The following is a 20,539-nucleotide window of genomic DNA, read 5'->3' as shown; positions in this document are numbered from 1 at the left end:
TTGCCACCAACGTGTTCCTTTTTCTCCACAGCCTCACCAACACCTATTATTTTTTATATTATAATAATAGCCATTCTGACTGGTGTGAGATGACATCTCACGGTTTTAACTTGCATTTCTCTTATGATTAGTGATATTGAGCATTTTTTATGTTTGTTGGCCATGTGTATGTCTTCTCTTCACAAGTGCCTATTCATGTCTTTTGCTCATTTTTTTTAAATTGTCTTTTGCTTGTTGAATTGTTTAACTTTCTTACATATCTTCGACATTAGACTTTGTTGGATGCATAGTTTGCCAATATTTTCTCCCATTCGGTAGGTTGTCTTTTTATTCTGTTGGTAGTTTCTTTTGCTGTGCAGAAGCCCTTTATAGGGTCCCACTTGTCAATTTTTGTTTTTGTTGTGATTGCTTTTGACTATTTAGTTATAAATTCTTTCCCAAGGCCCATGTCCAGAATGGTGTGTTCTAGGTTTTCTTCTAGAATTATTATAGTTTGAGGTCTTACATTTAACTCTTTAATCCACCTTGAGTTTTTGTATATGGTGAAAAGTAGTAGGTCCAGTTTCATTCTTCTGCATATGGCTATCTAGGCATCCCAGCACCATTTTACTGAATAGGGAGTCTTTTCCCCCATTGCTTATTTCTGCTGACTTCATCAAAGATTAGATGGCTGTAGGTGTATGGCTTTATTTCTGGGTTCTCTACTCTTTCCCATTGGTTTATGTGTCTGTTTTTATATCAGTATCATGATGTTTTGGCTATGGTAGCCTTATAGTATGCTTTGAAGTCAGGTAATGTGATGCCTTCAGCTTTGTTCTTTTTGCTTAAGATTGTTTCAGCTGTTTGTACTCTTTTTTGGTTCCATATACATTTTAGAATTTTTTTTCTAATTCTATTTTTTTTAAATAATTCTTAAAGAAGATGTTGGTAGTTTAATATAAATAGTGCTGAGTCTGTAGATTGTGTTGGGCAGTATGAACATTTTAATGGTATTGATTCTTCTAATCCATGAGCATAGAATGTCTTTCCATTTGTGTGTGTCATCTATGGTTTCATTTCATAGTGTTTTGTAATTCTCCTTGCAGATATCTTTCATCTCCTTGGTTTGATGTATTCGTAGTCTGTGTGTGTGTGTGTGTGTGTCTGTGTGTGTGTGGCTACGGTTAATGGGATTGTGTTCTTGATTTGGCTTTCAGCTTGAATATTACTGGTGTGTAGGCACACTACTGATTTTTGTACATTGATTTTCTATCCTGAAATTTGCTGAAGTTGTTTATCAGTTTCAGGAGTCTTTTGGCAGAGTCTTTAGGGTTTTCAAGGTGTAGAATCATATCTCCCCAAAAGAGAGTTTGACTTCTTCTTTTCCTGTTTGGATGACTCTTATTTCTTTCTCTCGACTGATTGCTCTCTAGGACTTCCAGTGCTATGCTGAATAGAAGGTGGGAGAATAGCTATCCTTGTCTTTTTCTAATTCTCAAGGGGAAAGTTTTCAGTTTATGCCTGTTAAGTATGATATTGGCTGGGGGTATGTCATAGATGGCTCTTACTGTTTCAAGATGTGTTCTTTTGATGCCTAGTTTCTTCAGAGTTTTTGTAACAAAAGGATGTTTGACTTTATCAAAATCTTTTTCTGTGTCTATTGAGATGATCATATGGTTTCTGCTTTTAATTCTGTCTATGCTGTAAACCACATTTATTGTTTTGTGCATGCGGAACGAACCTTGCATCCCAGGAATGAAGCCTACTTGATCATGGTGAATTAACTTTTTGATGTGCTGTTGCGTTTGGTTTGCTATATTTTGTTGAGAATTGTTGTTTCTATGTTCATCAGGGATATTGGCCTGTAGTTTGATTTTTTTCATTATATTGTTACCAGGTTTTGGTATTAGGGTGTGCTAGATTCATAGAATGAGTGAGGGAGAATCCCTTCGCCTCAATTTTTTGAAATTAGTTCTAGTGGAATTGGTACCTGGCTTTCTCTGTACTTCTGGTATTATTCAGTGGTAAACTCATCTGGTCCAGGGCTTTTTTTTTTTTTTTTGCTTGGTAGGCTTTTTATTACTGATTCAATTTTGGAACTCAATATTGGTGCGTTCAGTGTTCATTTTCTTCCTGATTCAATCTTAGGAAATTTTATCTTTCCAAGAATTTATTCATTTCCTCTAGATTTTTAGTTTGTGTCCACAGAGGTGTTCATAACACTCTCTGAGAATCTTTTGTTTGCTGTTTCTTATTGTACTTATTTGGATTTTCTCTCTTTTTTTCTTTGATAATCTTGTGGTCTATTGACCTTGTTTATTTCTTAAGAAACTAAATTTTGGTTTGGTTGATTTTTTAAATGGATTATTAGGTTTTAATTTTATTCAGTTCCACTCCGATTTTTGTTATTTATTTTCTCCTGCTAGCTTTAAGGTTACTTTGCTCTTGTTTCTCTAGTTCCTCTAGATGTTAGGTTAGATTGTTAAAATGAGATATTTTTAACTTTTTGAGGTAGGCGTTTAGTGCTATGAACTTTCCTCTTAACACTGCTTTGGCTACATCCCAGATATTTTGGTATGTTATGTTTCTGTTTTCATTTATTTCAAATAATTTTGAAATTTCTGCCTTGATTCTTTGTTCACCCAAAAGTCATTCAGGAGCAAGTTGTTTAATTTCCCTATAATTGTGTGGTTTTTGAGAGGCCTCCTTGTATTGATTTCTATTGTATTCCACTGTGGTCTGAGACTATAGTTTGTATGATTTTTAGTTTTTTAAAAAAATTTATTGAGACTTATTCAAGTATTTTTTAATTTATTGAGCACATGATTTCTTGGAGTATGTTCCATGTCCAGATGTCCAGATGAGAAGAGCATATATTCTATAGTTGATGGGTGGAGTATTCTATAGATGTTTATTAGGTCCAGTCGGTCAAGTGCTGAGTTTAAGTCCAGAATTTCTTGGTTGGTTTTCTGCCGTGATGAACTGTCTAATGCTGTTCGTGGGGTCTTGAATACCCCCACTATTATTGTGTGGCTGTCTAAGTCTTTTTGTAGTTCTAGAAGTTCTCATTTTATGAATTTGGGTGCTCCTGTGTTTGGTGTGTACATACTTATGATAGTCAAGTCTTCTTGTTGCTTGAACAATTTATCATTATGTAATGTTGTAATGTGCTTCTTGTCATTTTTTACTGTTGTTGCTTTAAAGTCTGTTTCATCTGATATGAGAATAGTAACTCCGACTCTTTGTTTTTTGTTTTCTGTTTGCATGGTATATCTTTCTCCAACCCTGTAAGCCTATGGGTGTCAGTACGTGTGAAACAGATCCCTAAAAGAGAGCAGATGAATGGGTCTTGTTTTCTTATCTAACTTACTACTCTGTGACTTTTAAGTGGATCATTTAGACCATTTACCTTCCAGGTTAATATTGATATGAGAGGTTTTGATCTTATCATGAAGTTGTTAGCTGTTCGCTGTGTAATTTCTATTGTATTTTTGCTTTATGGGGTCTGTGAGCTGTATACTTCAGTGTGTTTTTGTAGCGGCAGTTATCATTCTTTTGTTTCCATGTGTAGAACTCCCTTAAGAATCTCTTGTAAGGCAGGTGTAGTGGTAACAAATTCCCTTAGTGCTTGCTTGTCTGTAAAATATTTTATTTCTCCTTCATTTATGAGTTCAGCTTGGCAGGATATAAAACTCTTGATTGGAATTTCTTTTCTTTAACTGTTAAAGATAGGCTCCCAATCTCTCTTGGCTTGTAAGCCTTTTTCTGACAAGTCTGCTGTTAGCTTGATGGGGTTCCCTTTGTATGTAATTTTTCCTTTTCCTCTAGCTGCCTTTAAGTTTTTTTCTATAGTGCTGACCTTGGATAGTCTAGTGGTTATATGTCTTGGTGATATTTGTTTTGTACAGTGTTTCACAGGTGTTCTCTGAATTTCTTATATCTGAATTTCTACCTCTCTAGTAAGATTAGGGACATTTTCTTGAATGATTACCTCAAATATATTTTCCAGGTTATTCGCTTTTCCTCCTTCTCTCCAAGGAATGCCAGTAATTTGTAGGTTTGATCAGTTTACATAAGCTCATATTTCTCAAAGATTTTGATCATTTTTTAAAATTCTTTTTTTCTTCATTTTTGTCAGACTGGGTTAGTTGAAAAGACTGGCTTTCTGGCTCTGAGCTTCTTTCTTCTACTTCATCCAGTCTATTGATAAGATCTTCAACTGTATTTTGAGGTTCCTTAAGTGAGTTTTTCAATTCCAGAAGTTCTGACTGATTTTCTTTTTAGGGCATTTATCTCTTCCTTCATTTACTGGATTGCTTTAGAATTTTTTTTGTGTTGATTTTCCACCCTTTCTTGGGTCTCTCAGTGAACTTCCTTGCAATCCATACTTTGGATTCTTTATCTGTTATTTCTGAGTTTCTATTTTGGATAGTGACCATTGCAGGGGAGCTAGTGCAGTCCTTTGGTGGTGTCACTACATTCAGATTTTTCATGATGCCAGCATTCTTGTTTTGGTTCCTTCTCATCTGGAGATGCTGGCACTTCTAATTCTTATAATTATGTTCATGCAGGTAGGATTTTTTCTTTTTCTTTCTTTCCCTATAATGTTATTATTATTATTTTCTTTCCCTTTACCTTCCCCTTCCACCCTAGGGGCTGTGGCTATAGAGAATGATGAGGAGGGTCTTTTGGCTTTGCTTGTATAAATTCTATGTCTACGTACTTCTTTTAGCAGGTTTTAAATTGGGCTGTGCAGTTTGTCCTACAAGCCCATAGATGACACTTATAGGTAAGATTTGGTTGTGACCAATGGGGCTGGGTATATACTTGATCCTTGTTTACTGGCAGAAGCTCCCTGTTGCCTCAACCAATGCACTGACTCATGGAATGCACAGTGGTCTGAACTCTCTGCTCACTCTCCAAGGGGTGGGAGCCATGAAGGGTAGGGCTGGACCAAGCAAGTCTGCCAGCAGGTTCCCTGATGGCAGGCACAAGCACCAGTGCCAAAGGAGAATCCAGTGGGTGGTCACCATGTACCCAGAAGTGTGCCTACATGTGGAGCTGAGAAACCTTGGCTTCAAGATCTCTGCATGGTAATAGGGGCAGCTGAAGCTCAATCTAGGAGAGTGGGTGCTCTAGATACCTGGAGATCTTCCTAGGCATGGGGCAGAGACAGCACCCCTGCACCAAGATTTCTGCATGGAGGGGTGGTATGACTCAGGCTGCTGAACCAGGGAAACAGGTGCTCTGAATGCCTCAGGATCTGCCTGGACATGAAGCAGAGAGGGTCTCACTGCACCACTATCTATGTCTAGGAATGGTGGGGCAGGTCGGGCTGTTGAATCAGACAAGTGGGCACTCCAAATACCTGGATATCTGCCTGACCATGGAGAAGAAAGGATCACCTCAAGATCTCTTCACAGGAGGGGTGGGGCAACTCAGGCTGCTGACCCAAGTGAACAGATGTTCCAACTTACTGGAGATCTGCGTAGGTGTGGAGCAGAGGGATTCCCTCTGTACTACAATCTATGTCTAGGCAGGGTGGGGCAGCTCAGGTTGCTGAACCAGGCAATTGGGGGCTCCAAATCCCTCTAGCAGATAAATTCTTGTCTGAATACAACATTTGTAAATTTAGCAGAAACAGGCATAGAAAGATAGGGAAGATATGAACTTAAGAAAAAAACTACACTTAGATTATATTTCCATTAATATCACACCTTATTTTCTATTACTTGTTGTAAATATTATCTTTAATTTCCAATGCTGTAAATTAAAAAATACTATGTTTGGGCTTCAGAATAGAAGCATATAGACTACAAAGTAATTTTTAAAAAGACATATATCAGGTCAGACTTACTCCTTCTTTGGAACAAGGGTCAGAAGTCATAAAAGCCATTTATTTCATGGATGTTTGGAAGTAGAAAAATATATTTCGATCTTCAGAAATATTCTGGAGTAGAATAATTCTACTAAAAGAGCTGTTGTTCCCCTCTTCTTCTCATACAAATAAGAGAAGTTGATGTTTTAAAGATTTTGGAGATCATTTGATCTGACTAGCTCATTTTACAGAGAAGAAATCTGAGGTGTAGGGCCAGGATAGACTCTTAATTTTATAACACTCAATCTATGTTCTCCCCACTACATTATGAGGCCTTATCAAAGGAAACAATCAAGTAAAATTAGGGATTTAGAATATATTATCTCTAAAGTCCTTTCTTATGCTAACATCCTGTGCATCTATGGGCTACAGTGGCTTAAATAAAAGAGTAACTCACCTGGAGCCAACTCAGTTGCATAAGGTTATTGAGCATGGGGGTTGAAAAAAATACAGCAATTAAAGACTATGTTGTGAAGAATCTCACAACATCTGGGCTAATTAGAACATTGCCCAAATGACAGAAGTCTTAAAATACTAGGAATCTCCCTTGCTTCTTACTGTCCTTTAGAAATTAAACCAGAAATGAAATTTTGAACATTTTAAAACAGGTTATTTTTATATCCAACCTGGAGAGTGGTTGGTTTCTCTCAATTTAAGAAACTACTACATTTCTGAAAAGTTGCATGTAAAGTGAAAATTTTTATTAAGCTTGTTTCAATAGCAAAATTGAAAGTTCATGGCTATAGCTAAAAGTCTCCGAAGGTTAAGAACTTTAGGAAGAAATGGATTAAATGAGAGGGATTTCACAGAAGCATATTACTATACAGAATACAATTATACTTTAATGGTATAAAACCTGAAAGAATATAAAGACTAAAATGTTTTACTAGTGAGTTATGGCAGCTGTTATGTAGTTTTCATTTACCACTAAAGATATGTCAACAGACCAAGGCATTAGTTGTTCAACAGACCTAAAATTCATATGCAAGACACATTTCTTAAAGGTAATGTAACCAAATATTCCTTAAGTTAAAAATTTTAGAGATCAACTAGCTCTCAGATGTTTTTGTGTGTTTTGTTTACCAGGATCCTATGAAATAATCTAATGAAACATAAAACTATACTTTAATGCAAATATCATTTATATATGACATATTAATTTATCATTGGATATCTACAGCTTCCATTCATTTTCCCAAAGGGTTTATGATGCAAGAAGGATTGAAACTCAGTAAGAATCAGTCAATTATCTCATTTTGAGAGAAATAATTGAGACAAATATGGTTTGATAAAATGTCCTAGGTCAAACGGCTAATTAATGGCAGGGCTTGATTAGGATAAAGTATTCCCAACCTCCAGGTTAAGAATTGTTCTATTATGTCATGTTCTTTTATGAAATACACTTTTGAGAACCACAATATAAAGTTCTGTGGTATATCACAGAACTTTATCAAGCATCAATGTATATCAAGCGTCGATGATAATGCCTGTCAGTGATTTATAAAACATCTTTTCAGCAAAATCTGTTAGTGAAGTTACAGCACATATTTAATAAAATACATCATTTTCTCAAGCTAGTAGCTAAAAAGACTATGGATATTAGAAGTCAGGGAGAAATTTATTAGTATGTATATATTATATGATTGTCTTTCTAAAAAACTCAGAAAATATAAAACTTATCAAACATTATTAGATACATATTATTTGATATTTCTATAAAATAATTTAAAGTCACTAGATTTTCTTATACAGTAGTGACTGAAACAAAAATCAATGAAAAATAGATCCCATTCACAGAAGCACAAAAATGCATAATACTTAAAAATATACTTAAGAAATACGTGCAACCTGTGTAAAGAAAATTACACAATTTCACTTAATTATACAGAATAATATTTTAAATAAATGGAGATTAAATGCCATGAACTGGACAAAAAGTCTCAATGTTCTCAAAGCATTCCTTTCCCTAATTTAATTTCTAAAATTAACTCCAATTAAAATGCCAGTTAGATTTTTTGGGGCAGGGATGTTTTTCCTAATATTTATCTAAATAAGTAAATGAGCTAAAATGTCCTCTATTCTACCTGCTATACCCCAAATTTTAAAGTACAATAATCAAAACTATGTAATATTTTTGTAAAATTATACTGTCAACAGAAGAAAAATGAAGCCTAGTAAGAGCCATAAGTATGCATAATTAAGCATGATTAAAATGCTATATTTAATTAGTGGAAATAAATCGATTATTTGATAAATGATACTAGGAAACTGAGTAGGTGTTTAGAAAATTAATTAATTAATTAGGATAGATCCAAACCTCAAGTCAGTAGATCACATTGCTCCCATTATCAAAAATAAATCTCTTTTCATTTTATTCTTTGAATGTTCATATTACCTTTTAGGCCACCCTAAGATCAGTAGTTCTTGTGTGAGACATGTCTTCAACACTGAACTCATTTAAATATAGAAGTCCATGACACTCCCAGAGCCAGAAGCATATTACTTGTCCATGATCTTAACAACTACACAACTCAGGAAAATCCAGTAGAATAGAAAAACAGTGATTGAAGTCATAGATCCTTTCAGAGAAGCAGTGGAACCAATGAATGGTCAGCAAACTATCACCTTAAAACAAAGACTCCTTGGAGAAAATACTCAAAAAAGACCCACTCTTCTAAAATCTAGGTCCAAGGCACAGCCTAAGATGTTTAAGAGCCAAGAGTATTCCTTGAAAGCTGAGAAACCAAAATGAGACTAGGAAGATGAGACTAGAAAGCAACAGCTCTTTGGAGGGATTCTGTATCCAACAAGAGCTGTAAGCAGTGCCAATCTAAATTTATCTCCAGCTAGAAGATGGAAGCATGCTTGAGCCATTTACTGAGACAGGAAATACAGAAAAAGCAACAGGATAGAGAGTGAAGAGCAGGTGAAATGATTAGTTTTCTCTTGTAACTTGGTGAAATTAAAGTTCTATAAAACTGAAATCATTGCTTATCATTTCCTTTACTGATGCTATCACATAGTAAGAAATTGAAAATACATTTACAATTGACTGATGCACTGCCTCCTCACACAAATTTCAGGACATCTGATGAGGAATAGGGCCTCTAAAATCTACATATTAAAATGTCATATGGGGCATAATGTAAAACATACTACACAGGTTTCAATAAAATATATACTAGGTGCTTTAACAAAGTCCAGATAATGAAAATTGCATAGTGATTAGCATCATCACTACAGAATGACAATTAACCTCAGTCACAAAGTATTAGCTGCTTAACACTTTTTTATCCTTAGGAATATGATGACACTGTGGTTATGATTTTTATTTTCATCATCAAAGCTAATTTGTCTGTTTTGGTTAAAAATATATCAGTGTGAGTGGTTCAAAACCTGCGCTTTTCTATAAGCACATTGAAATTTCACACTTTACATTTCAAATCAGTGACTCAGACTTAGTCAGTATTTAATTCTTATACCTGTATAAGGTATACCTTATACCTTATACCTGTATGGGTAGTCAGTACCCATAGACTTATTAATCTAGTAATTATTTTTCACAATAAAATTATAAATATTTAGAGTTTGCAATATGTTCTTCCATGATGGGGGTAATAGTTAAAGATTGTTCTTTAGTAATACCATAAACAGAAGGATTTTATATATATATATATATATATATATATATATATATATATTCTTTACATATGTATTTCATGGGGGGGAACAGAAGAAAGTGAGTAATTGTTTGTATGAGATTGTCAGTAGATGTGAGGACTATGTAGAGTACAGATTGCAAGTTAATTATCGTATAAAAGGTCAAAGATTTTCAAAAAAGAGCAAGGACAATGTAGGGGCAAGGTACACTTGGATACTGTTTTATAAATCAGAAAACCAAACCCCAAGTGGATTAATTTGTGATATTTATAAATGCTTAATAAAACTTATATTAATAATTGTCAGGTATTATAAGATCTTTTGAGAGAAAACCAAAACAGTTTCTCCTCAAGTGTAATCTGAATACTAAGGGACTTCAGTATTTGGGTAGCCAAAATATCCAAAAGAATAGACTATTGAATAGAAATAGAATCCTGACTTTTGGTTTCCTATAACTTTATTGTCTATATTTTAGGCAAATCAGTTTTAACCAAATGACTAACGAGAATGTGGCCTATAATCGTACAGTATAAATGATGAGATACTATAAGGAAGTACGGAACAAGCATAACTTCCAAACACTGAAGGAAGACTGATTTCAGAATGTCTTTCTCGTTTAAGCTAAAGGGTGACCTAGTAATAAGGTACAGAATCCCTATTTGTTGTTCACCCACTTATTCCTGCATCCATTCACTCAAATACATGTATTGTGCATGTCCTCTCTACATCCATGCTAGGATCAGTATCGTGGAGAACACGAAGACAGGAATTTGTGGTATAGCATATACACATTCCTGTCTTTCTTTCTTATACATGCATAAATATACATATACACATGTATGTATATGTGTGTATACTGTTAACTATGACCCAAAAATAACACATCATAATTCTATAGCACTTTTCAATTTGCAAACTGCTTTCACATATACTCTTATTTACGCTCACCAGTGATTTTCTAAGTAGGCATTTTTATCTCCATTTTGTAGCGAGAATAATCTTGCTCTCTATTTTTGTAGATTTACTGTAGGATGATACATGTGATGTCCTATATTTTTAAAAGATTAAAACCATGATTATTCTTCCTATTATGATATTGGTTTTAGTAACTTTTCCTAAGGTGTGTTTTTAAAACTTCAAATTCATAGGATAGGATGTTAATAGAGTATTAACAATATGTACAAAAAAGAAAAAGATTATGATAGAAAATAAATTTATGCAACATTTCTTTTAAATAAAGTTTAATCAATTTCTTCAGAATTTCTCTGAGCTTATTATATGCTGCTAATATACCTTCTCAGTCTTTACGAACAGGGATGCAGTGTGCTACATTTCTCAAACTTACATGATAACAGAATCTTTGTTGCTTGGAGTGTTTGGTAGGAAGTGTGAACACATTTGGAAACTGTGGTGCAAAGATACTGAGTATATTGTAGGTTCATTCCTTTCTAGGTATAAGTATTTTCTCCTCTTAAGCAACCGTGGCAACTTGAAATCATATTAACTCCCTGTCTGCTACCTGAAACCCAGAAATTCCCTTTCAAAGGACTGAGAATATTATGCAATTAAATGCAAATTTTTGTATTTCTTACTATCTAAATGCCCCAATAATCTTTAAATACGAGATCAGACTGCAGAGATAATGCAACTTCATAATTGGACATTGCTATATATACTTTACTTCCTCTATTTTTATAAGAAGCAAAGTTTATTGCTATACTTAAAATATAAAAAAATTGAGTCTTTAAAATATACCATTTGCTCCTTACGACAAAAGAGTAAAATCTTACTTCTAAAACGTGGAAATATTTTCTGTTTTCTAGAAGCCCTTATGAAAATAGAATAGAGCATTGACAAAACTTTTAAAATGGATGGTATTTGATTTGCGTCTTCTGGAACTAACAGTAATATAAATTGTTTGTGATGACATTTTAAGTACTGTGTTGTACTACTTCAGTATTGAGGTTAACTGCTTTTAGATAGACCTCCTTTGTCCATCAGAAATAAACTATGTCCAAATAAATTTGCAGATGTGTTGGGGATTGAAAAAGTATAGGACGGTGGAAAAGGATAGAAAGGACTGAATTGTTACTGGTTAGTGTTGTTTACAACTGGGAGTATTAACTTCCTCAAAAGTCTCAAGACATTTTAAAAACCTTGCCACCCACAGTCCGGTGTGCAGGACCAGTGACACCAGCATCACTGTGGAGTTTGTTTAAAAAAGGAGGGTCTTGACTCCACCTCAGACTTCCTGAATTAGAATTTATATTAAAGGAGATCCTTGGTTCATTCCAGTGCACATTAAGGCTTAAGGTACTGGTTTATGTTTTAAAAAAATAAATCCAGGAGTCCTTCACTAGTGTCCACTTTAATGGCTGGAAAACTTCATTTTAGATTTTTTCCTCTTTTCTTTATCTCATGCATTCTTAAGAATGCGAATCTACAAGTAAGGGTTAGCTTTAAAAGTTTTTATAATTCTTTATGTAAACCCTGAAAAAGTAGGGTTAGTAAATTCAACCTTCTTTAGGAAAACCGATGCAGTTACTGAAGTAATCAGCCTACAACATCATAAGCCTGGTCATTTTTTTTTCTTACAAAAGGCTTGTAAATGCTAAGTAGTTAATAACTAGAGAGCCGTTCAAATCAATCAGCATTTATGAGGTTTTATCCAACGAGGATCAGGAGATTTAGGATTAAAATTGTCAATGAAAATTTGAAAATGATGTCTGACTTAATCCCTTTTTTCCCATTCTAGATTCTTGGCCTTCCCACCCTACCCCGCATGATACAGATACACTTTTAGGCATCTGCAATGGATACGCTTGCTCCAGCCAAAGGGTAAGAGATAAAAGAGCTTCCTCTCTATTACAAAATACTCTTTGACCTTTGAAGTAGATTATTTATTTTAAAATTCAGATTGTCATTGTCTTAGAGGTAATTTTGAAAAAGAACATAAGGTAACATTTTAGCTATAAAATGGGAGCTACTGACCAAGACACAATCTATTATAGCTGAGGAAACACAGATTGGTAAGTAGGATTCCACCGTTAGACTCACATAAGGAACACAGATTTGTTACAGTGAGCAAGATGCATCAAAAATACCACTTCTCCATATTTCAGCTAATTCTGTCTGACATTATGATGCTTTTTTTTTTTTTTTTTTTTTTTTGCTGGCTAACATCGTATCTGGTAGGGGTATGGGTGGGTTCTTCATTGTATATAGTAATGGAGAGACACAGGGCTCCACTTTCCATCATGGAAGGGTAAGATGGAAAGAGTCTTCTTGTCCTGGCAGTCTGTGTCTGAGCATGTGATTTTAGCTTGGCCAATTGAATTCTTCCCTCAGGCACTGTGAATCAGAGGTGCAGGGGAAGTTAGGACTCCCGCACAGGATCTACAGACAGAAACATGTTCAGGCCATCCTTGTGAAATGTCACAATTGAACTTCTTGCATTGGCAATCTGGGGCTACCTTAGCTCATGTTCTTTTCCTAGTCTTGTTTTGTATCCTTCTAATTCTGAGTCTACACATCCTGCTAATGAATTCCTTTTTTGTTTTTACTTGCAATCAAGAATCATGACTGATACAAAAATATCACCTCTTCACTAGACTTTAAGAGTATTGCTATTTCAGTTCTACATTGCTCATCGATATAAGTTTGAACAGGTGGCTGGAGTTTCAGAGGGCTTCAATTAACAATAAGAGCAGAGGTGGTGGTGATAATGCTGGCAGTTACCAACTGCAAGCACACACTATGTACCAGATACTATGTGAAGTGAGTACTCATGAGAGTCAGTATTGCCACACTCATAGACAACAAATCTGAGATTGTTTAATGAAAAACCACACATTGAGGTCATTTTGGTCAAAATCACATGCCTGATTCAAAATCACATTCCTGAAGCAGGATTCAGACCTGAAGCTTTTGAGCTGCAAATCAGAACTCACATTAGGATGCTAATGGAGTTCTTCAGAGACTAATTCAATATCATTGATTAAACCTTAGAAGTGATAGTAGCTAAAATAATATATACATATATTAACTGAGATATAAGAAAACATGCAAGGTCTACTTGTACATTTTTAGATATTTATTGACGTCCTCTTGTAAACAAATAAAGCATCCTCCACTCCCTGCAAAGAGATCCTTCTGAAACATTTCTTTGCAGCCTCCCAAAAATTAAACTGTAAAAAGCACTCTCTGATTCAGTTGTGACATGTCTCTTTAATACAGTGTTTAATCTTACCCTTGAAGCACTATATCTAAATTCCATAAAAATTTGATATATCCTAACAAGGTTACAAGGTTGATATAGGACTTGCCTCCTAAATGAACCTGAAATAAAAATTTCCTACGTATGTGCAATTGTGAGCCTATGTAAACATTTTTCAGAGGCTGACTTTCCAATTGAAAGGTGGTACAGATAAATTACTTTGAAGATATGCAAAAGCATATAATTTTTGTCCAGCACCAAACTAAACCGCAAAGGCAATACTTTTAAAGCTATTTCTTAGTAACTTTCGTACATAAAATGATAAGTATTCACTAGTCATAGTTCATGGTCTTTCCTTCATTAGAAGTAATTGTCATAATACAATGATAATGAGAATTATACTAGCTGTTACTTACTGAGCAGTTACTACATACCAATATAAATGCTTTATATATGTTGCCTAATTTAATACTGGTAACCCCACTGAGGTTGGCACTATTATTATTGTCAGTTTACAGTCCTTGAAAATGAAGCAGAGTGAAACATCTCCCACTGTTTGGTGGCGCTCTATGTTCAAAGGATCACTGTTCAAAAGGGAACTTTATCCCTCACTGTATCTTATGATGAAGTCTACACTCTAAAGCTTAGCACAGTCTTTAAAGATCTGGTATCTACCTACCTACCTCTTTGGCCTCATTGCCTTTCTACCACACCTCCATTCACCTTCTGTGAGAGTGAATTGCTTAATATATTAATAACCCTGCTGTCACAAATGCCTTTTCCTCAGCATCTATACAGACAAGGCCTATTCACCCTTTAAAACTCAGGTCATCTCTGAGAAGCCTTTGATGATATTCTAGTTAGATTTAGTGCCACCCCTCTATACCTATTCCTTTTATAAAATATATTGCACTGTAATATGCCCATTAAATCTTTGTCTACTTTTCCCACCAGATTTTAAGCTCTATTATTTGTTTTGGTATCCCCAGTGCCTAACACAGAACCAAGTATGTAATGGGCACTTAAATATCTCATTTTATGGAATTAACAATAATTAGAAAGAAATTTTATCCTTTGGGAAACTGAATCTATTTTTATACATCTAATGTTAAACACAAACATAAGGAACAACATGCTCTCTCATCAAATATTTGTATGATAAATTTTTGGATTCATGATAATTGGACCCAAAAAGGTAAAATTTACCATTAGTGCACAGATTACAGGGTAAAAATTAAAGTAGCGTAGACTCTAAGCTACTTCATTATAAAGTTAGGTAGGGAAGGTCATGATTATTTAATCTGTGTTCAAATCTCAGCTGGGGAATGTTTTAAATGAACATTTAAATGATGCAAGTAATTTTAGGAGAAGGGAAAGTCTTTGTAGACAAGCCTGTAAACCCAATATTTACACACTTAATTAGCATACTCTCTTGCTAGTCATATCCCAGTAGGTGCTTGGACAGGAAATCTAATTCTCTAAAGATAAATTTTCGGTCATTTTTATCATAAATGAGTAAGATTATCAATTATTTGACATGCCATGATCATAGGATGTACTTTCTAATATATCCTCTGATGGTTTATGTGGACACTGACCCATAATAAGAAAAATATATATATGTATATATACACACATATATATATATGTGTGTATATATACACACGTATATATATGTGTGTGTGTATATATAGATATATGAAGCACATTTTGGGGTTTGTTTATTCTTGATAATCATTACTCATGAAACCAGAAATAGACTTTCAAATTATATGGTGAGCTTTTTCACATTGTAGACGAGGACACTGAGGCCCAAACAGGTGAAAAAAAATATTGCAAATCTGACAGCTGATTAGCAATGGAACCATGATGACAGGAGAGGTCTATTGCCCCCAGCCCAGTGCTCTTCTTGCCACTACTTCATGACAATGCTCTCTCTGCGAGATTGGTTTCTGGCTTACAACCTGCTACTCATTACATTGAACCATAATACAAGGACCAAGAATACAAGTAAGGGGGTAAATATAGAAGCAATTCAGATTGTTTTTTTTTAATTGACAAATAAATACCTCTATATGTTGTGGGAAGAAAAACAACAGCTAGATTTTAAGTCTGCAGCAAGCCTGGCATGTTGGAAATGAAACAAAAGGCTTTGTTCATATAACTAAATTTGAGAGTGTGAATAAGCTAAATTTCCCCATCTGGAGACTCTCAGACCAGACGAGACTTACAAATTAATATGAGTGTATAGGTCTGGGGCCTGAGGAAAATTAGGTCAGGTCTAAAAAGGAATCAGGTGCTGACCACAAGTCAGAATTTTAATATGAATTCAAAACAAAGGGCAGAGATCTAATGCTGTAATTTACTGAACACCATTAGGATGATGACATATGATGTGATGAGGAAGCCTTCAAGACAAAGTTATGGAGAAGAAAACAATATCGAAAGATAGAAAATGTTTTAATCCACATACAATTCAGACCCTGATCCTCCTTTTAACCAACTCTTCTCTCTCTCTTTCTCCTTCTCTTTCTTATTGGATCTTATTTTTATCTAAGATATGTTTGCTTTCACTTGGTAGTTTTATTTCCCCATTTTCTTTGTTTCCTAGAATTGAGGACCCACAGCAAGACATTTAAAAAGTGCTTTGATAAAGAAGATAAGAAAAACATTCTAAGATAAAAATTATAAGAACACATCAGTTGTTTTGTGTAGCTCAGAAATAAAATTGGGATGTGAAGAGGTATTTTTAAGAACTTGGAGAGGAGCTTATTCCCTTCCACCTGCTTTCCTAAGGTCTCCAGCTCTTCCTCCAGTGCTGCCTTTGAAGGCTTTGTATATGTCCTATGCTGAGAGATTGCCATTTATGAGGGCCAACACAGGGATGTTCCAAATATGTCCAGCCATTAAGTGCTGGTATGAAAAGTCTGGGCATTTTTCTTTCTTGGCAGTCTCCTATGCAAAGGTCTGAGCTTCTTCCAAAAGTTCAAGATTGATTTTTGATAGAGAAGATAAGTGAAGGATTTTCTAGCCAACTGAGAAGCAGATTCTTTTGATTAAATCTCAGATTAATAAAAAAAAATTCTACATAAGGTACTGTGACAATTCTCTAAAGGGTATGACTGTGAGAAAAATGCAGATTTTTGGGATAGAGAGTTATAGTTTTGAGAATTTTCATTTTCTATAAATTTACTGTGGTTGACATAAGTTTAAAAATGTGTTCATGTGCATAGTGTTTCCGATTCATTTATGCAGATTATGTAACATTCAAAAAATCTCCCTTAAACTCCTATGTATTATGGGGACTCAAAACTATAAATTATGTTTGTAAATGTCCAGTCCGTTCTACCATCACAAATTCTCAAAGTGTGCTAAATGTGGAGAATGTGTTATTTTGTTTACTTTCGCTCTCACACACTCTCTCTCTCCTTGTAAAGGGAAGGATGGTAGGATATCTTCTCTATTAATACGCCACCTCAAATATAAGTGATCATTTTCTTATTAGTTAAGTTATCGTAGTGATAGACCATAGGCCAGTTTCCCAGTGATTTACTATTACTAGCCCTGCATCGGAACATTTCAAGATAAGATTGAACATTATTTATCTAAACACTTCTACAGCCAAACTGGTCATTTTGATTATATATAAAATTTCTCAGTTTAACCCATTAATTTTTGAAAAAAATGTAACGTTGTTCCAGAAAACCTTATTGAAATAAATTACTTGTGTCATGGATTCAAAAATAGAAATTAATTAGACAAATTGATAGTAAGAATAAATATATTTATAGACTTATCTTTCACTTCCTCCAAGTTCTTGATACTCTTTTTTTTTAAATTAAAAAATGGAAAATGTGACAAATGTAAGCCCTTACCAACTTCCCACTTCAGAAGGCTGTTGTCTTCCCTCTCCATTTTTCCAATGACGTACCAGATACACGCCATCCAGTGTGCAAGGAGTGCAAACATGGACATGAGCAGAGTCAGGACGATAGTACTGTGTTGGGAATAGCGGTCTAACTTCTGCAGCAGACGCAAAAGACGCAAGAGGCGCACTGTCTTTAGAAGATGCACGAGAGACACCTGTGGTAAGAGACAGAGCAGCACAACTTGGTGCATGTGTTAAATTCATACCACAACATTAACTTGGAGCCATTCTAAAAATTCTGGAAATGAAGTATAATTATTTTCATATTATTATTTTTATGAATTCTTTGTTCTTGACATATTATATCAGAAAGTGATAGAATTAAAGAGGCTGGAATAAAGGATAGGATAGGAAGGATAATTTAATTTATTTGAGTAAACACCTTTCTTAATTAGGGGTTATCTTTTTTTCACTTCCTGTCTGATTTCATACTGCAGTTTACATTCTGATACACAACTGAAACACATTATGGTATCAGAATTGTACATATCTCAAATCCCCTACACATATTTTCTTTCAACCCTACATTCCCTTCCCTGTGTAATGAAATTGCTTTATAATAATAATTCAGACAAATTGAAGTAAAGGCACAGAAAGTGATAATAAAAATACCTTAGAGATTATTTTTTAAAATAGGTAGACCCATAAAACTTGAGTAAGTTCTGCCCACAAGTACCAGTAGCATCTTCTGCCTCATGTACTATACTTCCAACGTTATCAATGGACAGAGGAAACATTTGCCTGAAGCTCGCTCTCTCTCTCTCTCTCTCTTTCTCTCTCTCAGCGCTCTCTCAGACATGCTTAGGGAATTAAAATGAAATGGACAGGAATTTCTGAAGAGTCTCCTAGTGCCTTTGCATCCACTATAGCAGTAGACTTGTAGCTGAGGGGTTATTTTATTGACTTCAGGGTCCAATTGAAAAATATGTATCATTGGTGTGGACCAGAATAGTCAATATCACCATTAATAAGGGGTGCACATAACACACCTTCTTTTCATACCTTCAAAGAACATTCTAAGATAGAAACAACAAATAAAACATTAAATCATATGGAAATGCAGTTTGACAAACTTCTTGATGTCACCTTTAATTTCTTTGGGGAAAGCACAAGTAGAGAAGGAGTAACTTTATGGCTTTAACTAACCTCACTCTTTCCTTTACAAAACTGAACAGACACAAGGTCAGCACTGGGAGTTTGCTTTTGTATTTATCTAAAGTCAGTTGACTTCCAATTCTTTCCTCTGCTAGCCATATTCTCTTATCTCTAAGAAAAACATACCTAGAACAGTACCTGACACATAGAAAATGCTCAATAAATATTTATTAGATGAGTGAATGAATAAATTATCAAGTTAAGATGCAAACACTCCAAGCTCAGCGTAGAAATTGATATCCAACAAAATTATATTCAGTTGTAATCTTGTGAATTATTCTATATCAAATACAGTAAACTCTTAAGGGCGCTTGAAGAACTTGACAGCTAGCTGTGCTCTTTTATTTCTTTTTGTCATTCTCCTGTGTCAAGTTTTACTTTCTTCTCCTTTATAGCTAAGTTCTCATCTATGATTTCTCAAGCTGGTGGTTAGCTAGATGGTCAGATGCCAAGATTTGTAATCTCTATTCTGTTATTTAAAGATATTACTGGGGATGGAGTTTATTTTACAGGTAGATGAATTTGATGGTTAGGTGACAATTTTGTAAGTGAAATGAAAACTGGAACGGAAGTCCCAAATGGAGGAGGGCATCTGCACACATAATTTTGATACAGTCTCCCCATTTTCTCTGACCGGAAAGGGGATGTTTGAGCAAAGAATGTAGAGCTGCTTGTACATGAGAACAATAGTCATCTGCAAATATTAGGAACTTGAACCTAGGTGTCCAGATGACCCACATAGTTCTTTGTTCATTCTTAAGTCAATAAAAACTGGCATTAAAGAAATTATGTTTGCTCCCATCGGAGTCAGTAGCTTCTTGCTACAGTTTTAATGTTTTCTCTTGAAGAATGACAGGAGAAAGAAGCATATTTGACTTAGATGGAAATATGTATCTGAAAAAGGGACAGGATTCTTTTGACTCTTTGGATGCTGTTTCAAATCTGTCACTGATGAGAATTATAAGCTACTCATAGACAGGTGCATTCATCAAACCCCCCTATAAAATGGGAGTTTCCCCTTTTACCAATGGACATGGTCATCTCCTAGCTATTACCCAGAAGGGAGAAAGAGAGAGAGAGGTGGCTAACTAATATGTTGTGAGGTCTTCTTAGGTTTTAGACATTTAGCAAAGCATTGTATAGATATGTTGCATTTTCAGTCTGGTCAAAAACTCTGTAGGAATTATATTATGCCCATTTTATGGATATTTTAATGTTAACTTCCCCAAATAAGTTACTCAGATGGTAAATGATAGAACTTGGATTCATACTTCTGCCCTTTCTACTCTATCAACATTCCTATGTCTTATTCATAATTGTATCTCTTATAAGTGCCTTCTACAGTGATATACATACTAGTTTTCAAAAAGCATGTGATCCGTACTTAAAAGAACTGCCATGAGCAATTGTGAGCAGAGCCAAAGCCAAAGCTTATGCAGTTCTGAATGTCACCTATGGAGATGCATTAACTGGACATATTTTAGATTTGGGAGACAAACATCTTTGGTTATTTGTTTCTTTTTCTAAGTCTTTGTTGTAAAAGAGCATAACTCATAAGTTATTCCTCATAACTTATGTTTTCCTGAGAAGAAAACATAATACCTTGAACAAGCTTTTCTGTTCAAATATTATAGGATATTTGATCCTGACTAACTTGTTTAAGAGGGATAACGAATTTAGGTGCCAGCTTTTTAAATTCTCATATGCTCACTCCTGTGAAAAG

The 20,539-nt window shown here is 34.7% G+C and overlaps 1 protein-coding gene and 1 long non-coding RNA gene across 7 annotated transcripts in view; one reads left to right on the top strand and one right to left on the bottom strand.

Annotated features, from left to right (window-relative positions):
* The window catches only part of KCNH8 (potassium voltage-gated channel subfamily H member 8), a 387,133-nt gene that overhangs the window by 122,723 nt on the left and 243,871 nt on the right, over window positions 1-20,539 (bottom strand). For 5 of the 6 annotated variants that reach the window (XM_017005698.3, NM_144633.3, XM_017005699.2 and 2 more), the window contains one exon: window positions 17,609-17,816. The exons of the other annotated variant lie outside the window; for it this stretch is intronic. In XM_017005698.3, the coding sequence (XP_016861187.1) occupies window positions 17,609-17,816 (208 nt within the window). The remainder of the gene's footprint in view (window positions 1-17,608; window positions 17,817-20,539) is intronic. 6 annotated transcript variants of the gene reach the window in all.
* Window positions 1-20,539, top strand: part of LOC105376982 (uncharacterized) — a 97,844-nt gene that overhangs the window by 74,047 nt on the left and 3,258 nt on the right. The window contains exon 2 of the long non-coding RNA XR_940640.3: window positions 12,273-12,355. This is a non-coding gene — a long non-coding RNA (uncharacterized LOC105376982). The remainder of the gene's footprint in view (window positions 1-12,272; window positions 12,356-20,539) is intronic.

Source organism: Homo sapiens, chromosome 3 (genome assembly GCF_000001405.40).
Source record: "Homo sapiens chromosome 3, GRCh38.p14 Primary Assembly".
In the NCBI taxonomy this organism is placed as follows: Eukaryota; Metazoa; Chordata; class Mammalia; order Primates; family Hominidae; genus Homo; species Homo sapiens.
Note: the sequence above shows the minus strand (reverse complement) of the source record. Positions and strands in the feature narration are given on the sequence as shown.